The following is a 14,484-nucleotide window of genomic DNA, read 5'->3' on the forward strand; positions in this document are numbered from 1 at the left end:
ATCTATTGAAGTTTTTGATATGCCAGTGTTACAGCATAGAAAACAAAACATATTCAATAAATTAATCATTAATGCATCTAGATCGTAAAATAGGATGTGCATTAAAATGCTCTCACCGCAACAGCTGATGTTTCATTGATACAGGAAAGGCTCAAATAATCTGGACAGATGAAGTGGTTGTATAATATTTTCCTCCTTCGCCACTTCAAGTATATCTGTCCAATTTTAGGCCCATTACTTTAAAAAAGAGAGCATAGTTTGATAATTTCCCTTCATTATCTGCTTGACTTGATAAAGATGTTGTTCATACATTAAAAGTTGCGCCTTGATTAGCTGAAATCATAAAATAATAGTATGTAGCTTTTAAGTATTTTAAGTGTCTTCCACATAAGCTTTGAATCATTGAAACTAAAGGCTATAATCTGGGCAGATGCGAAACTAAAGACAAATTTCCTATGCAAACATGTATACCATATGAAAGCCATGCAAATACTGCCTTCAGAAGAAAAACAAAGGCTTGTTTTATTTTTTTCCCTCAAACTGAGCTACTTTATCAGAGTACAATTGCAAAGTAAAGATTTACATATTTTTGACTGAAAAAATAATTTCCATACCACATGTATGTGACTTCACAATGTGAAGATTTTAGGACACTGACACAAATAGGTACCAGGTCATTAAAAAAAGAGACTCAGATAGTCGGAGTTACTGTTACATTTATTATGTATTTAATAGAAACACCACCAAAATTCTTCAAATTAAAACTAACTACAATCTAAATATCTTGATTATGGAATGGATTCAATGGTGTTTAGATATTAAACTTAACCTCAAAAATAATGTGGTTATATGAAGATTGTGTAGAAAAGAAAAACATATGGTAGAGAGTATGTTAATATAGAAAAGTTACCACTTGGAAAACAATTCATCTGAAAGAAGCACAGATTTTCTCATCTATCCTGTCAACAAAGAAGGAATCAAGAGAGCAAGGACAGTGATTTCCCCTGCATTGCATTTGTGTGAGTATAAAGAGATTTAAGGTTTATTATATAAATGAACTTGTTACAAAGATTAAACTGATGACATTTAGAGATAAAAATGCCAACTATTAGATTCTTTTCATCAAACTCAGCGAGTTTGGAATCATAAAAAGAAAAAATTTTACTAGCTATTCATTTGGTAACATTTGCAGAAAATAATATATTATCACAGATTGTCAAAGAACTGACACTTTGCCAACTAGTCTGCTTCAAATTTGTAAAAAAGATGAACAAAGGATATCAGACTCCACGGGAGGGGAGAGAAAAAGACAAGAGATAGGATTATAGAACCCATAGAATTTTAAAGCTAGAAGAAATGTAAAAAAAAAAAATCTATCTCATACTTTTCTTATATCCTTTTGGAAAAGCAACTAGAACAAGTAATAATAACATCTTTCTCAAGGACACACAGCAGGTGGCCAATTACCATACCTGAAAGTAATGAATTATATAAATAAAGAAAATGTGAGAAAGATGTTACATACAGCATAGAAAAGCACATTAAATATAATATTACTATTTTTATGTCTTTACTTATATATGGTTAAATGACTTGAGTAGAACTTGATAGGATAAAAGCACTACTTCAACAATGTTTACAGTTTTAAAGATATATTTCAGTTAGTACTTTCACTATTCTTCAAATTTTATTTTTAAAATAATTTTGAAAAATGCATCTTCATGTCACTCTAAGTAAAGTCTTATTAACTTATAACTTATATTAAGTTCTTTAAAATTAGTTTATATAATTTTAGTTTGTAATTTCATAAAATTTTTAGTCAACATGTGCATTCACAACTCAAGATGAAATGGTTGTTACTTTGTTTTGGCATTTACTAGTACATGTATTATAGTATATGTATAACATATTAGTGGTTTGTACCATGCCCTAAAACTTATGACACCAAATGCTGGCAACTCTTTCTCCTGCTTTCTAAAATGTATTATAGTCTAAAATATTAGTAAATATTAATATATTCATCGTATAATTGCCTTTTTAAGAAATCAATATCCTGTTATTTTTAGACAATGTCAAAATATTGCATTATCTAAAAAAAACCTAGTCATTAAACTTAGAAATGTCAAGTACACCTGTGAATTTGTTAAGGGGACACTATAATTTTCTATTTGATTTGAAAATAAATCAAGCAGCCACAGCATTCTCGAAGTAACACTATTAATTACTTCTGCTAATTGCCTCTGTGCAATTGGGAAAGAAGTAAAGCAATCTCCTCTGGTTTGATTTGAAGGACATCACAGGATCTCACCCCATCAGACTGCCTCTAACATTCCCCCTCCTTGGGGCTAGACTCTATCCCTCCCAGAACAGCAAAATCTGCCAGAAGTTTTACGCTGAGCTAAACTCTCTGTTCAGGCCTTTATGCGATGTTGTCCTCGCCCAAGATTTATCTTCCAGCAGAAGAACAGGGAGAATGTCGTATCTAAAGGAGAAATTCCTAGGTCAGATATCATTTACTTCTTAATTTTGGCTTAGTCTGTCTTTATTGATGGGTTTTATCATTCAGGAGCCATTCTAGTACTTAAAATGATATTGATTAATCTTCATACTCATCATTGCTCAAGCTTGGAGGAAAAAAAGTTTATTGAAAGAATAAAAAACCCTTTCTATTCAACAATTTTTTGAAAAATAACACTTCCAAGAACTATTGCTGATCCATGTCATTGTCACCATAAAAACCAGCTGGTAATTTTTACTTAGATATAAATGAAAGATGGGAATAATTTTATGTAGTCACGGTGTCTATCTGTAAATCAATAAACAAAAAGAAGGGCAGAATAAAATCCATTTTAAGAGTTCAAGAGTGGGTAGAGTGGCTCATGCCTGTAGTTCTAGCACTTGGGGAGGCCAGAATGGGAGGATTGCTTGAGGCTAGAAATTCAAGACCAGTCCGGGAAAATTAGCAAGGTCCCCTCTGCACCCCCATCTCTATAAAAATAATTTAAAAATTAGCCTGGTGTGGTGTGGTGGTCCACACTTGTAATCCTAGCTACTTGGGAGGCTGAGGAGGGAAGTGTCACTTGAGTTCAGGAGTTCAAGGCTGCAGTGAGCTATGATTGCACCACTGCGCTACAGACTGGGTGAGAGAACAGAACCCTTTCTCTAAAAATCCAAAAAATAATCCAATGAGCTTTTAACATGAGAATCCCTTCCAACTTTTTTTTATATCAGTTGTTTCAAAATGTTTGTTTTCTAGGAAAATTAATCCTCCAATCTATATGTATGTGTGTACATATATATAATTTTCTTCTGCTGCTATAGGTTATCCAAAAATAAGAAAACAAACAAGCAAATAAAAATTGATATTTGGAAAGAATTTTACATGCTCTTTGCTAAGGCTATGTATGCAATTTTCCAAAATGAGAGAAATACCTGAGTAATCAAGCAACCTTACCTCCATATTTTTTAAAAATAATACATTCATTGAAATGAGACACTGGTTAATTAAAAAAACAAGATGAGCTTTAAGGGATGACCAGTATTAAGTAAACTTCTGAATCTGCCAGTTATCAATTGTGATTATTCAGGCTACTTTTCTGATTTTTTGAGTCATTTTAGCTACTACATAAGGCACCTAAGTGGATAAAATTGATTTTTTGACATAGAACTTCTGCTACAATGTGTGATACATAGTAGATGTTTAATAACTGATGGTTCTCTTTCCTCTATGTGCCTGCCATTAGACTGGTTCTAATCCCAGCTGTGCAATTCTGATAAGATTATTCAACTCTCCATGCCTCTGTTTCTTCATCTAAAAATGGTGACAAAGGGGAGCTGAAGAAGGATACTCAATTGTGTTTTACCTGTGGTTGCTGGAAGTCAGAAGCCTTTGGGTAAAGGGAAAAGATGATGGATCCACACAGTGAAGTATTTTATAGCAATTAGAAGCAAAGGTCACACAGCAATACAGATAGATCTTTTTAAAACCGCAATACCAGATGAAAGACATTAAGAAATAGAAGGGTAACAACACACACTGGGGCTTTCAGAGAATCGAGGGTGGGAGGAGGAAGAGGGTCAGGAAAAATAGCTAATGGGTACTAGGCTTAATATCTGGGTGAAATAATCTGTTCAACAAACCCCCATGACATAAGTTCAACTATCTAACATACCTGCACTTGTACCCCTGAACTTAAAAGTTAAAAAGAAGCAAAATGAAATATATCACACAATGACATTTGTTTAAATTAAAATATTTGCATAAAAATTGCAACACACATTTTGCAAGAATACATGCACACAGATGTTCAACATCACAAATGTGGCATGGGAGGTTGAGAATCAGAGCACCTCATACAGTAGAAACTCAATAAATGCTAATCCTCTAGCACAGACCATGTAAAATGTAAAGGAATGTGTATGTGTATGTGTATGTGTATATGTATGTGTATGTGTATGTGTATGTGTATGTGTATGTGTATGTGTGAGGATGTGTTGTAATAACCTCTCCAGAATTTCCTGGTAAGAAAATACATTCAATCTAAAGCAGGGCTACCAGTGATAAAGCTAAAACCTTGCTTGAACATGACTTTTATGATTTACTATATTATTAATTTAACTTCCTACTGCTACATTAGCAGTTTCAGAAAAAAAGAGAATAAGAAATAACATGAGAAGAAACAAAGCAAATTTAGAATTAGCTAACTGACTAAAAATATTTTTATATTTTTTCAGCTTGGCTGACCTTAAGTTAAACATTTGTACATTTTTATGTCTGGCAGCAACAACAAAAAAAGATTCTAAACACTAATTATAATGCTTAAGGATTTACAAAACTTTGACTCCCCATATCATTTATAAACCTTGCAATTAGCATATTTTTAAAGGATTGACTGTATAACAGGTAATATTACCATGACTCTATATTTTTAATTCATCTAATTGAATATCTATTTTGAATTTGAATTTTCAGTTTAATGAAGAAATATCCTAATATTTAAATTCTAAAGCTAAGACTTCATGTCTCTAAAATATGTATATTAAAAGCTATTAATAAAATTAAGTCAATATTCATGACAAAATTACCCTTTTCTGTTAGATTTAGATTTCTATTCGACCCCATTTTTTCTAGTAAGCACTTCTTTAGAAACAGAAAGAATAATACACCTTGATTTTCGAGAAGAAATACTCTTTAAAACTGTCCATCAACTAATGAAACCACCAATTTAATTACTTTTCTCAATCTCAAGAATATAAAATGATCTAATTTATAATTAGTGTTATGATAAGTGCCTAATAAACTTAAAATGATTTGACATTAGGGCTGAATTTTCATTGGAACTGGTGGAAAGTTTTATAACTCAGGGATTTTCTAATCCCCAGGCATATTGATGAAATCTAACTCTAATATAAAATCATCCTGATCCTTGCTGTTTTCTGATTATAACTTTAGGTACCAAACACTACAAAAGTAAATAAATTAAAAAGTTATTGACACTTCATAAAAAGGAGCTAATTCTTATTGATTTTATTTTAATGCCATTTTTACTCTTATATTAATCATTTGTATATTTATAATATGAGCATAAGTTAAAAGATGTACCATATGCATGTACAATTAGTATAAATCAAATTATTTTCTCATGAATCTGACATACTCACTCTTTGATGTATTAAAAAGAGCCCTGATCTGAAGAGAATATGATATTTGAGTCTGTTTTTATTTTTAATACTTGAAATAAATCTTTCATTTTGAGTAGGTCCTTATATTAGAATTGAAAACTTTGACTAAAAAATAAAAAACAGCTAAAAACACAAACACACACCCACAATTTTCCCCAACACACACACAGAGATTATAGCAAGTAAATCTTCTGCAAGTCTCATTTTTAAAAAGTAATTTGATGCAGATTTTTCTTATAATATCTTTTAAACACACAATATGTTCCCAGGAAATTACAAGTGGAACGGCTAATCTAATATCCTGCCCCTTGCAGGGGACTGCAGCTGATAACTTCCAGGGAAATTGACAACTACCCAGTCTTTCCCCTCAGGAATGTACATGACTTCACAAGAAAGGTATACTCAGTTCCTTTAGAACCTGAGAAGATTCATTTGAATATAGAAGCATGACATTCAAATATCTAAAGTTCATTATAAATTTTGTGTCAGCAGAAAAAAAAATCCTATCATGGAAAGGATCAATCTAATCAATCAAATTAATTGTTCCAAACCTCAGAATATTTTTTCACACTCCCAGACCAACAGGCCCATCAAATGCCACAGGAAGGCTCTCTTAGGAAGAAATTTACAAATTCACAGTTCTAATGAATGGCACATAAGCTTTCATTTACTTCCACAATTGTTTTCCCATTCTGAGGCTGGACTCACGATTTTATCCATTTCTATGTAATCAATAAACATTCTCAAACATACAACTGAAATGTTTGTTTCTAATAACCCATTTTGTGTTCTAACAATCCCCTTAATTTGTATCTTCTAAATCAAATCTCCTCATGACATTACCTGGTTTCCCAAGTTCTTCCACTAACGCCAGACACTTCCAGCCAGGATCCCACGCTAGAGCACACCACTCAAACAACTCAACACCATCTCCCCAGATTTCACTGCCTATTGTCCTATTTGTTCACCCTTCTAAAAGGGTGTCTTAAACTGTCTTAAACTAAGATTCTAATAACTGCAAAAAGTTTACTCTGTCAAAATAAGCATTATTTAAATTCCCTGATACTCTGGATTGGATTCTGAAGTAGAAAGAGGAAATCAGTGGGAAACCAGATGAAATCTGAATAAATTTCAGAGTTTAAATATCAGTAATATACCACTGTTGACTTCTGTTTTTAAAAACCTGTCATGATGATGTAAAATATTAAGGGGGCGGGGATGGATGAAGCATCTATCTGGATTTTATATCATCTTTGCAACTTGTCTGTAAGACTAAAACTATTCCAAAATAGTTTATTTAAAAAATAAGTGTTGTGTTTTTAAAAGAGACTTCATTGTATTGACACAAAGGATGAGGAAGATGGAAATTGCAGATACAGTGTTAGTTTTGCAACAAGAGAAGTTTGAGATGAAGAAAGTGTAGTCACTCCTTGTTTTACCCCACAAACGCAGTTGCCTCTTTCTGCCTTTGCATAAAGGTTGGCTGTGAAGGAAATTCCATTTATTTGCATGGCATCTGCTCAGGCAACTACATAATCTCAGATTTGCTTTTCAGAGAGATGAATCCTGTTGCATTATGGAGTATGGCCTTTAGAAAGGAAAGAGAAGTTGCCAGGTGAGCACTTACGGCTCTGTTGCAGGCACGTTAGGCAAAAGTTGTGATAGACTAGTGAAAGTAAAGAGAAACTGAAATGAATAAATCAGGAAATATGAAGAAAGTATATAACATGAAGAAAATAGATAATGGCAAGAGTGAGGGAAGAATGAAAAATGACTCCCAGGTTTGCTTGTCACTGAGTAGATGATTGAAAAATTGACTGGGAAAAAAAGTTATAGAAGGAGACATGTGGATAGAGGGCAAAGATGATGAGCATATAGATGCTTAGACGCTTATGGAGATTTTAAGTGGCAATGGAAATGATAATAAGCTCAGAAGAAGGGTTGAACTGCAGGTGAAGACTGGACAACCATCAGCCTGAAAGTGATGTGGATAAATTTCCTGAAGATTACTTAAAAAGTTATTAAGATGATCCAAGTAGAATGCATAGGTTCAGAAATGAATAAAAACTAAAGTTCCAAATCATATAAATACACAGCCCAGAGATTATAAATCAGGCTATTCCTTAGACAGATTCAAGTATTATGCTAAGAAATGTATTCAAAAAAAGTTGTTTGTAAGGAAAAAAAACCTGATTGTTAAAAAACTAATTTTGCCTCATGTAAATGTTTACATCATGTTTCATTGTTCATCCCTAAGAAATACCACAGTTAATAGAGAAAAGCAAATATATAGCTACATATAGAAAGAAATAATACACATGTAATCATTATTAACTGTTTCCACAGACACATGTTTATTTCTCTACAGTCATAACTTCATAAAAACAGCATAAAGAGTTTTCTTTAAATATTAAAGGATCAATGGGTCTTTTTACTAACAATATCTTTAGTTATATTTTGGTTGAAACAAAGTTAGTAAAGCTCTAGAATGACAAATTCTACAAGATATTTAAACAATTTTCTCATTAGGCAAGTTTTCTCTTCAGTTTGATTACTGATCTACATTAACATATAATTTTTCCTTGTTTAGATTTCTCTATTGAAAGAGATCTGCTTCACAGCAAGATAAGGCATTAGCAGTTGCACTTAACAATTTCATATAGCAGTAGTTGTAGAATTGAACTGAGTATCAAGCATATGACTTCTTGTTCCCTTAAGAAGAGTATTTCATTTCAATGTGAATTTCACATTGGAAAAAACTGAAATAATGATTATGTTGCACTTGGAAATCTGCACATAAAACACCAAAAATATTCACAGAGGAATGTGTGTATGTGTGTGCGTGCACACACACACACATAATTATAAAATTTTGGCATTCACACACACACATAATTATAAAACACACACACACATAATTATAAAATTTTGGCATTCAAAAACCTCCATCCATAGAAAAAATTACATTTGCTTTATTCATATTTATTAAACACTACTTATCCTAACTTCGATGTTAAAAAATTTTATATTGAATCTCATCAAAGGTAAGCCTACAAAGTCCATCCCAGGCCAACAAATGTCTTAGTAACATGGTAATCATTCAGAAGCTTAATTGAAAAATAGGAAATTGATGAGTCTAAGAGAAGGCTGGAAAGGTGAGACTCTATAAGCTACAAAAATCCTTTTGGTGATAACAGAGTTAAATCTTGGCCTCTTCTCTCCGTTTTTAATTTCCACTATCCTTGGGAATAAGGATGATCTGGCTTGAATATCTTATTTTAGTTTTGTTTTTCAACTTTTATTTTAGGTTATTACATTATGCTTGGGTTTGGTGTACAAGTGATTTCATCACTCACGTAGTGAGCATAGTACCCAATAGGTAGTGTCTATTTTTCCCATCTGTGTTCACATGGACACAATGTTTAGCTCCCACTTATAACTAAGAACAGGAGGTATTTGGCTTTCCGTCTCTGAATTAATTTGCTTATGATAATGACCTCCAGCTGCATCCACATTGCTGCAAAGGACATGATTTGGTTTTTGTTTTATAGCTGTGGAGTTTTCTATGGTATATATGTAGCATATTATCTTTACCCAGTTGATGGACATCTTGGTTGAGTACCCATCTTTACTAATGTGATGAATATATGAGTGCATGTGTCTTTTCGGTAGAACAATATATATATTCCTTTGGGTAAATATCCAGTCATGGGACTGCTGGGTCAAATGGTAGTTCTGTTTTAAGTTCTTTGAGAAATCTCCAAACTGCATGGCACAGAGGCTGAACTAATTTACATTCCCACCAGTGTATAAGTGTTCCCTTTTCTCTGCCACTTTGCCAACATCTGTTATTTTTTGACTTTTAATAATAGCCATTCTGACTGGTGTGAGATGGCATCTCATAGTGGTTTGATTTGCATGTCTCTGATTAGTGATGTTGAGCACTTTTTATATGCTTGTTTGCTGTATGTATGTCCTCTTTTGAGCAGTCTCTGTTCATGTCCTTTGCCCAATTTGTAATTGGGTTGTTTTTTGCTTGTTGAATTGTTTAAGTTCCTTATAGATTCTGGGCATTAGACCTTTGTCAGATGCAGTTTGTGAGTTTTTCTAGTTTTAAATCATCTTGTGATACTAATAAAATTTTTATTTGATTAACTGGAGACAGATCCTGCAGAAAGAATATGGATCTGTATATGTTAACTTGAAAAACAGAAGTTGTATTCTATAGGAATGATTTTAATTATTTACATTATTAAGATAAAATATGGCTCTTCTGCGACTCATAATGGATACTTGAAAGCTATGGATCCTGCAAATATTACAACTTAAATATAAGGAATATGGAATGACTGTTGTCTCTATGGACTAACAAATCTAGGTAGCCTTTGTGGCACTAGATTTGTAAAAAGGTTTGACATGACTTTAAAATAATGATGTTTCTTTTTATGTTATACCACTTAATGATATAAAAGTTATTTTAAAATACATTAAGCCATTATGATATAAACAATGGTGTTGTATCCAGTGTTATTGAACTGGATAGAGAAAGAAAGAAGCCAAATTAGACTCTCTTAAAACGGCTAAACAAAATGTGTTCAAATTTTAACTCTACAGCTTGCTAATTTTATGACTTAAGTAAGATAAATTCCACACCTAAAAAATATGGTTAATAATATTTACCTCAAAATTATTTTTAACAACTTGGAATGACATAAGGAAATAATTCTATAAATTGAAAAGTACTTATGTGTGTACTCATTATGTTTGTCATATTGCTTAATCAACATGAAAGCCAAGCAAGTTGTCTTTATTTTGATGAATAAAATTCAAGAAATTGAATAGGCAAAGTGAAATACAATTTTCTCAGTTTTAGAATATGGAAATGCACACAATGATAGAGTCCTGTTGAAACAAAAGTATTTCACATGCAATATGTATTAACTCAGTTTGTATTTATAATATACACAACTGTTTTCAAACACAATATTCTTCCCAAACTTTGGAAGTAGCATCTTTATGTGCCTATCATTTAAGTCAAGAAGGACATAAATTGTACTAACCACTTGTTCACAGCAGGTGAAGAATGCCAATAAATTAATGTACAGATCTGCATAATTCTAATATTATAGATAGTAAAGTTAAAAGAGCTCTCCAAAAAGTTCTAACACACACAAAGTTCTAGGGCTCTTTTATCCTGTTTTAGAGTATTGTCAAGGATGGTAGAAAAATCCACTTTATGTTCTAATAAAATGGTTTTTCGATGAGTCCTAGAGAAGTCAGCCATTTCCTTCAAAAATAATAATAGAATGTGTAGAAGCACATAAACTCTTTCAATGTGCATCGAATAATAGAGAAATTGTTAAACATTTAACTGACCTAAGAAGCTATACAAGTCACCCAAACAGCATGTGACCTTAATAAAGAGGTGGATATGGGTATTACCAGGTGGCAAAGAGCAATGAAAAAAAAGAAAATAAGTGCAGTATAAAATGTGCAGAGTTCAGGAAAATGACAGTAGCCTCCGAAAAAGCATCAGAAAAAAGAAGTGACAACAAAATATTCTAGCAACGAGTAGATTATAAAATACACAGATCATATAAATACAAGAAATCCAGAAAGTAAAAATCTAGTAATAATGCTAAATCTCAAAAGTCTATGAGATTTAAAATTATTGCATTTTAAAACATTCTTTTTTTTTAATTTTTTTATTTATTTATTTTTGAGACGGAGGTTCACTCTTGTTGCCCAGGCTGGAGTGCAATGTCATGATCTCAGCTCACTGCAACCTTCACCTCCTAAATTCAAGCGATTCTTCTGCCTCAGCCTCCCGAGTAGCTGGGATTACAGGCATGTGCCACCACACCCGGCTAATTTTTGTATTTTTAGTAGAGACAGGGTTTCACCATGTTGGCCAGGCTGGTCTTGAACTCCTGACCTCACGTGATCCACCCACCTCAGCCTTCCAAAGTGCTGGGATTACAGGTGTGAGCCACCACTGGAGGCCACAAAAAACAGTCTTACAAGAATTTGCCATCTGGAAAGCAAAGTTCTATTAAGTAATAAACCGAGCATTTAGTAAATATAGAAAGCCTGTTATATCCCCTGTTATATGCATGAAATGATGACACGAGAAATGAATTAACATGGCAAAAAATAAAGACTCTGACATATAGCAACTGAAGATTTATAATGTCTCATGAAATGCTGATATTTAAGTCATATTGTCTGATCAAAGTGGAAACCAATAAGGTTGTCTTTACTTTGAGGAGTAAAATCCATGTAATTGGCAATGTGAACAATATCCCATAGGCAAAATGAATACCATATTCTCAACTTTAAAAAAGAAGGCATACAGGGCCGCGTGCATCTCTGTCATGGACACACGTGATTGATCCTTTAACTGTATTCTTAATCACCACATATGCATGCCAGGCTGGGCATGGCTCCGAGGGCGGCCAGGGACAGACGTATGATACAAGACTATTAGAATTAATACTAATTTCATATGTAAAATATATCACCTCAATTTACAGGATAGGAGGTATAAGAATTAGAGATAAAAATTAAACACAGATGGTTACCTAAAATTAGTTGATTTTATTATTTATAGAGTAAGTGCTTAGTAGTTGAATTAATAATTTAGTAATTGAATTAATAATTTGTCTCTATGGTTCATTATGTTTTTCTAAGTTAAATGTTTCCAAGCTTCAGATAAGAATCTTAATAAAACAGGCCATCAACTATGCTAGGCCATTATATTACTTTCTTTAATCAAAATGGCAAAGACTTTTATTTTTAATGATAAAAACTCATTGTTGAAAAAGTTTAGAGAAATAGGACTTGCAAAAGCAAATAGGTAAAGTGTGTCTAATGGGAAGATTGGAAATAATTATCAAAATACACATTCTGCTTAAAATTTGATCTAGCAATCTCATTTCTAAGAATTTACATTGATATAACTATATATGTATAAAATATGTGTACACTAGGATGTTCGTCACAGTAATACAATAGTGGATAAGGAGAAATAACCCTTAAGTTTAATAGAGGATTGGTTAAAGAAATCAACAAATAATTTGCAGGTGATAGCTGTTATGTACAAGAATCATATTTATTGGTATAGAAATATTAAAGCTTGATATTGAAGTCTCATACATTCACATGGTAAATATGATTAAATTCAATTAACTTACTCCTTTAAAATGTTATACAATTTAAAATTATTTCTCATAGATCAACTTTACAATCCCATGAGAATTTTTTTTCTTTTTAAATGACAAGAAGACAATCAGGGAAGTTAATATCACTCATAATGATGTGGGTTATAAGTTTTTCGATACAATAAATCACAAATTTAATATTAACAGATATTACGTAGATTTTAGTGGCCAATATTGTCAGGTTTAACTGGAAATAAATTGATAACACCTCAGTGAATTCAGTGATATTGAGTATCTAACATATACAGAACTGATCCCACTAGTATGAGCATAAAATTCAACTACCTATTCATTTTTTCCTTGGATATATGTCAGCTTCATTATGAGCAGAGGTATACTTCATTTCATTGTTAATTTTGCTTCCCTAGGCCATTTCTCTGAGATTAACCAGGACTTCTGCCTACCAAAGCTACATTTTTTTTCTATTTCTGATTCTGATTTGACTATTTCTGATTCTATTTTGAAAAGAATATGCAAGTGTCTTTTAATTTCTCTGCTTATTATTAAGAGAAAAGGGGCATCTATGTAAATTGTGACTTACATAAGAAAAATAAAAACATATAACGACCTATTACTCTAACTTAAAAGAATATCTGTAACAAAGGAATTAAAGTACTAAGGCAGTTTCATAGATTCTATGAAGAAGAGAGATGTTTCTCAAATGAGGTGTGTCATGCAATTAATATAAAACTGTAGTCAAATCTTTGTGCTATAATCTTACTGCCTCAGGCAATAGTACAGATGAGAAAAGGGGGTCAGCATAGGCAGGGAAAAGTAAAAAAAAAATTGAATCATGCTCCAAACCCCAAAAACCTACACACACAGAATAGATATTCTTTGCCTTTTCCATATTATAAGTAGGATTAGGTATATGAGCTTATTGATTTAAACAGAAGTATTCTAATTCAGTGATAAATTTCATCTTTTATACTTGTTTATAGTAAGCTAAAATCATGTGGTGAAGAGCTCCCTAAAGGTTGAGGGAAGAAGAAAAATATAAATTTTTAAACATTTTATATTTCTACGTCCAACATTGTTATTAATATTATATATCAACTGGTATTGTTATATATGAGGTAATAGGTGTTGAGAAGAATTTAAAGCTGAATAAATATTTAACTTATCCTTATGGAATAAGAAGTCTAAAAGGAGAGATAAGATATGGTCACACACTAGAAGTACACAAGATAGAAAGTGATAAAGCATATAATAGGTGTTACGAAAGTTCAGAGGAGCAACAGATCATTTCCAGTTCTGTGGATCAGAGATGGGAAATCATGCAAGCAAAGCTTTGAAATCCATGGGTAGAATTTAGACAACTAAAGACGGTGAGGTTAAATCAATTCCAGAGGGAGTTTGAAATATGGACAGATGTATGAAATGGTTCAGAATTCAAGAAAAGTGTGGTGTGGGGAAAGAATTTTCCTAAAGTAGAAGCTACTTTGACCCAATAAACTTCGAAATAAAATCTAGAAAATCAGGTTGAAGCCAGATTTTGGCAGACATTGAAAGTCATCTTAAAAGGTTTACACAAAATTTGGTAAATGACAGAGGCATGTAAGATTCTAGGGCAAAAAAACAA

At 32.3% G+C, this 14,484-nt stretch overlaps 1 protein-coding gene across 1 annotated transcript in view; it reads left to right on the forward strand.

Annotated features, from left to right (window-relative positions):
* The first annotated feature begins 905 nt into the window (after nucleotides 1–905).
* The window catches only part of RGS21 (regulator of G protein signaling 21), a 50,294-nt gene continuing 36,715 nt past the window's right edge, over nucleotides 906–14,484 (forward strand). The window contains exon 1 of the mRNA NM_001039152.3: nucleotides 906–1,019. The gene's annotated coding sequence lies outside the window, so the exon portion shown is untranslated. The remainder of the gene's footprint in view (nucleotides 1,020–14,484) is intronic.

This window comes from Homo sapiens, chromosome 1 (assembly GCF_000001405.40).
Source record: "Homo sapiens chromosome 1, GRCh38.p14 Primary Assembly".
NCBI lineage: Eukaryota > Metazoa > Chordata > Mammalia > Primates > Hominidae > Homo > Homo sapiens.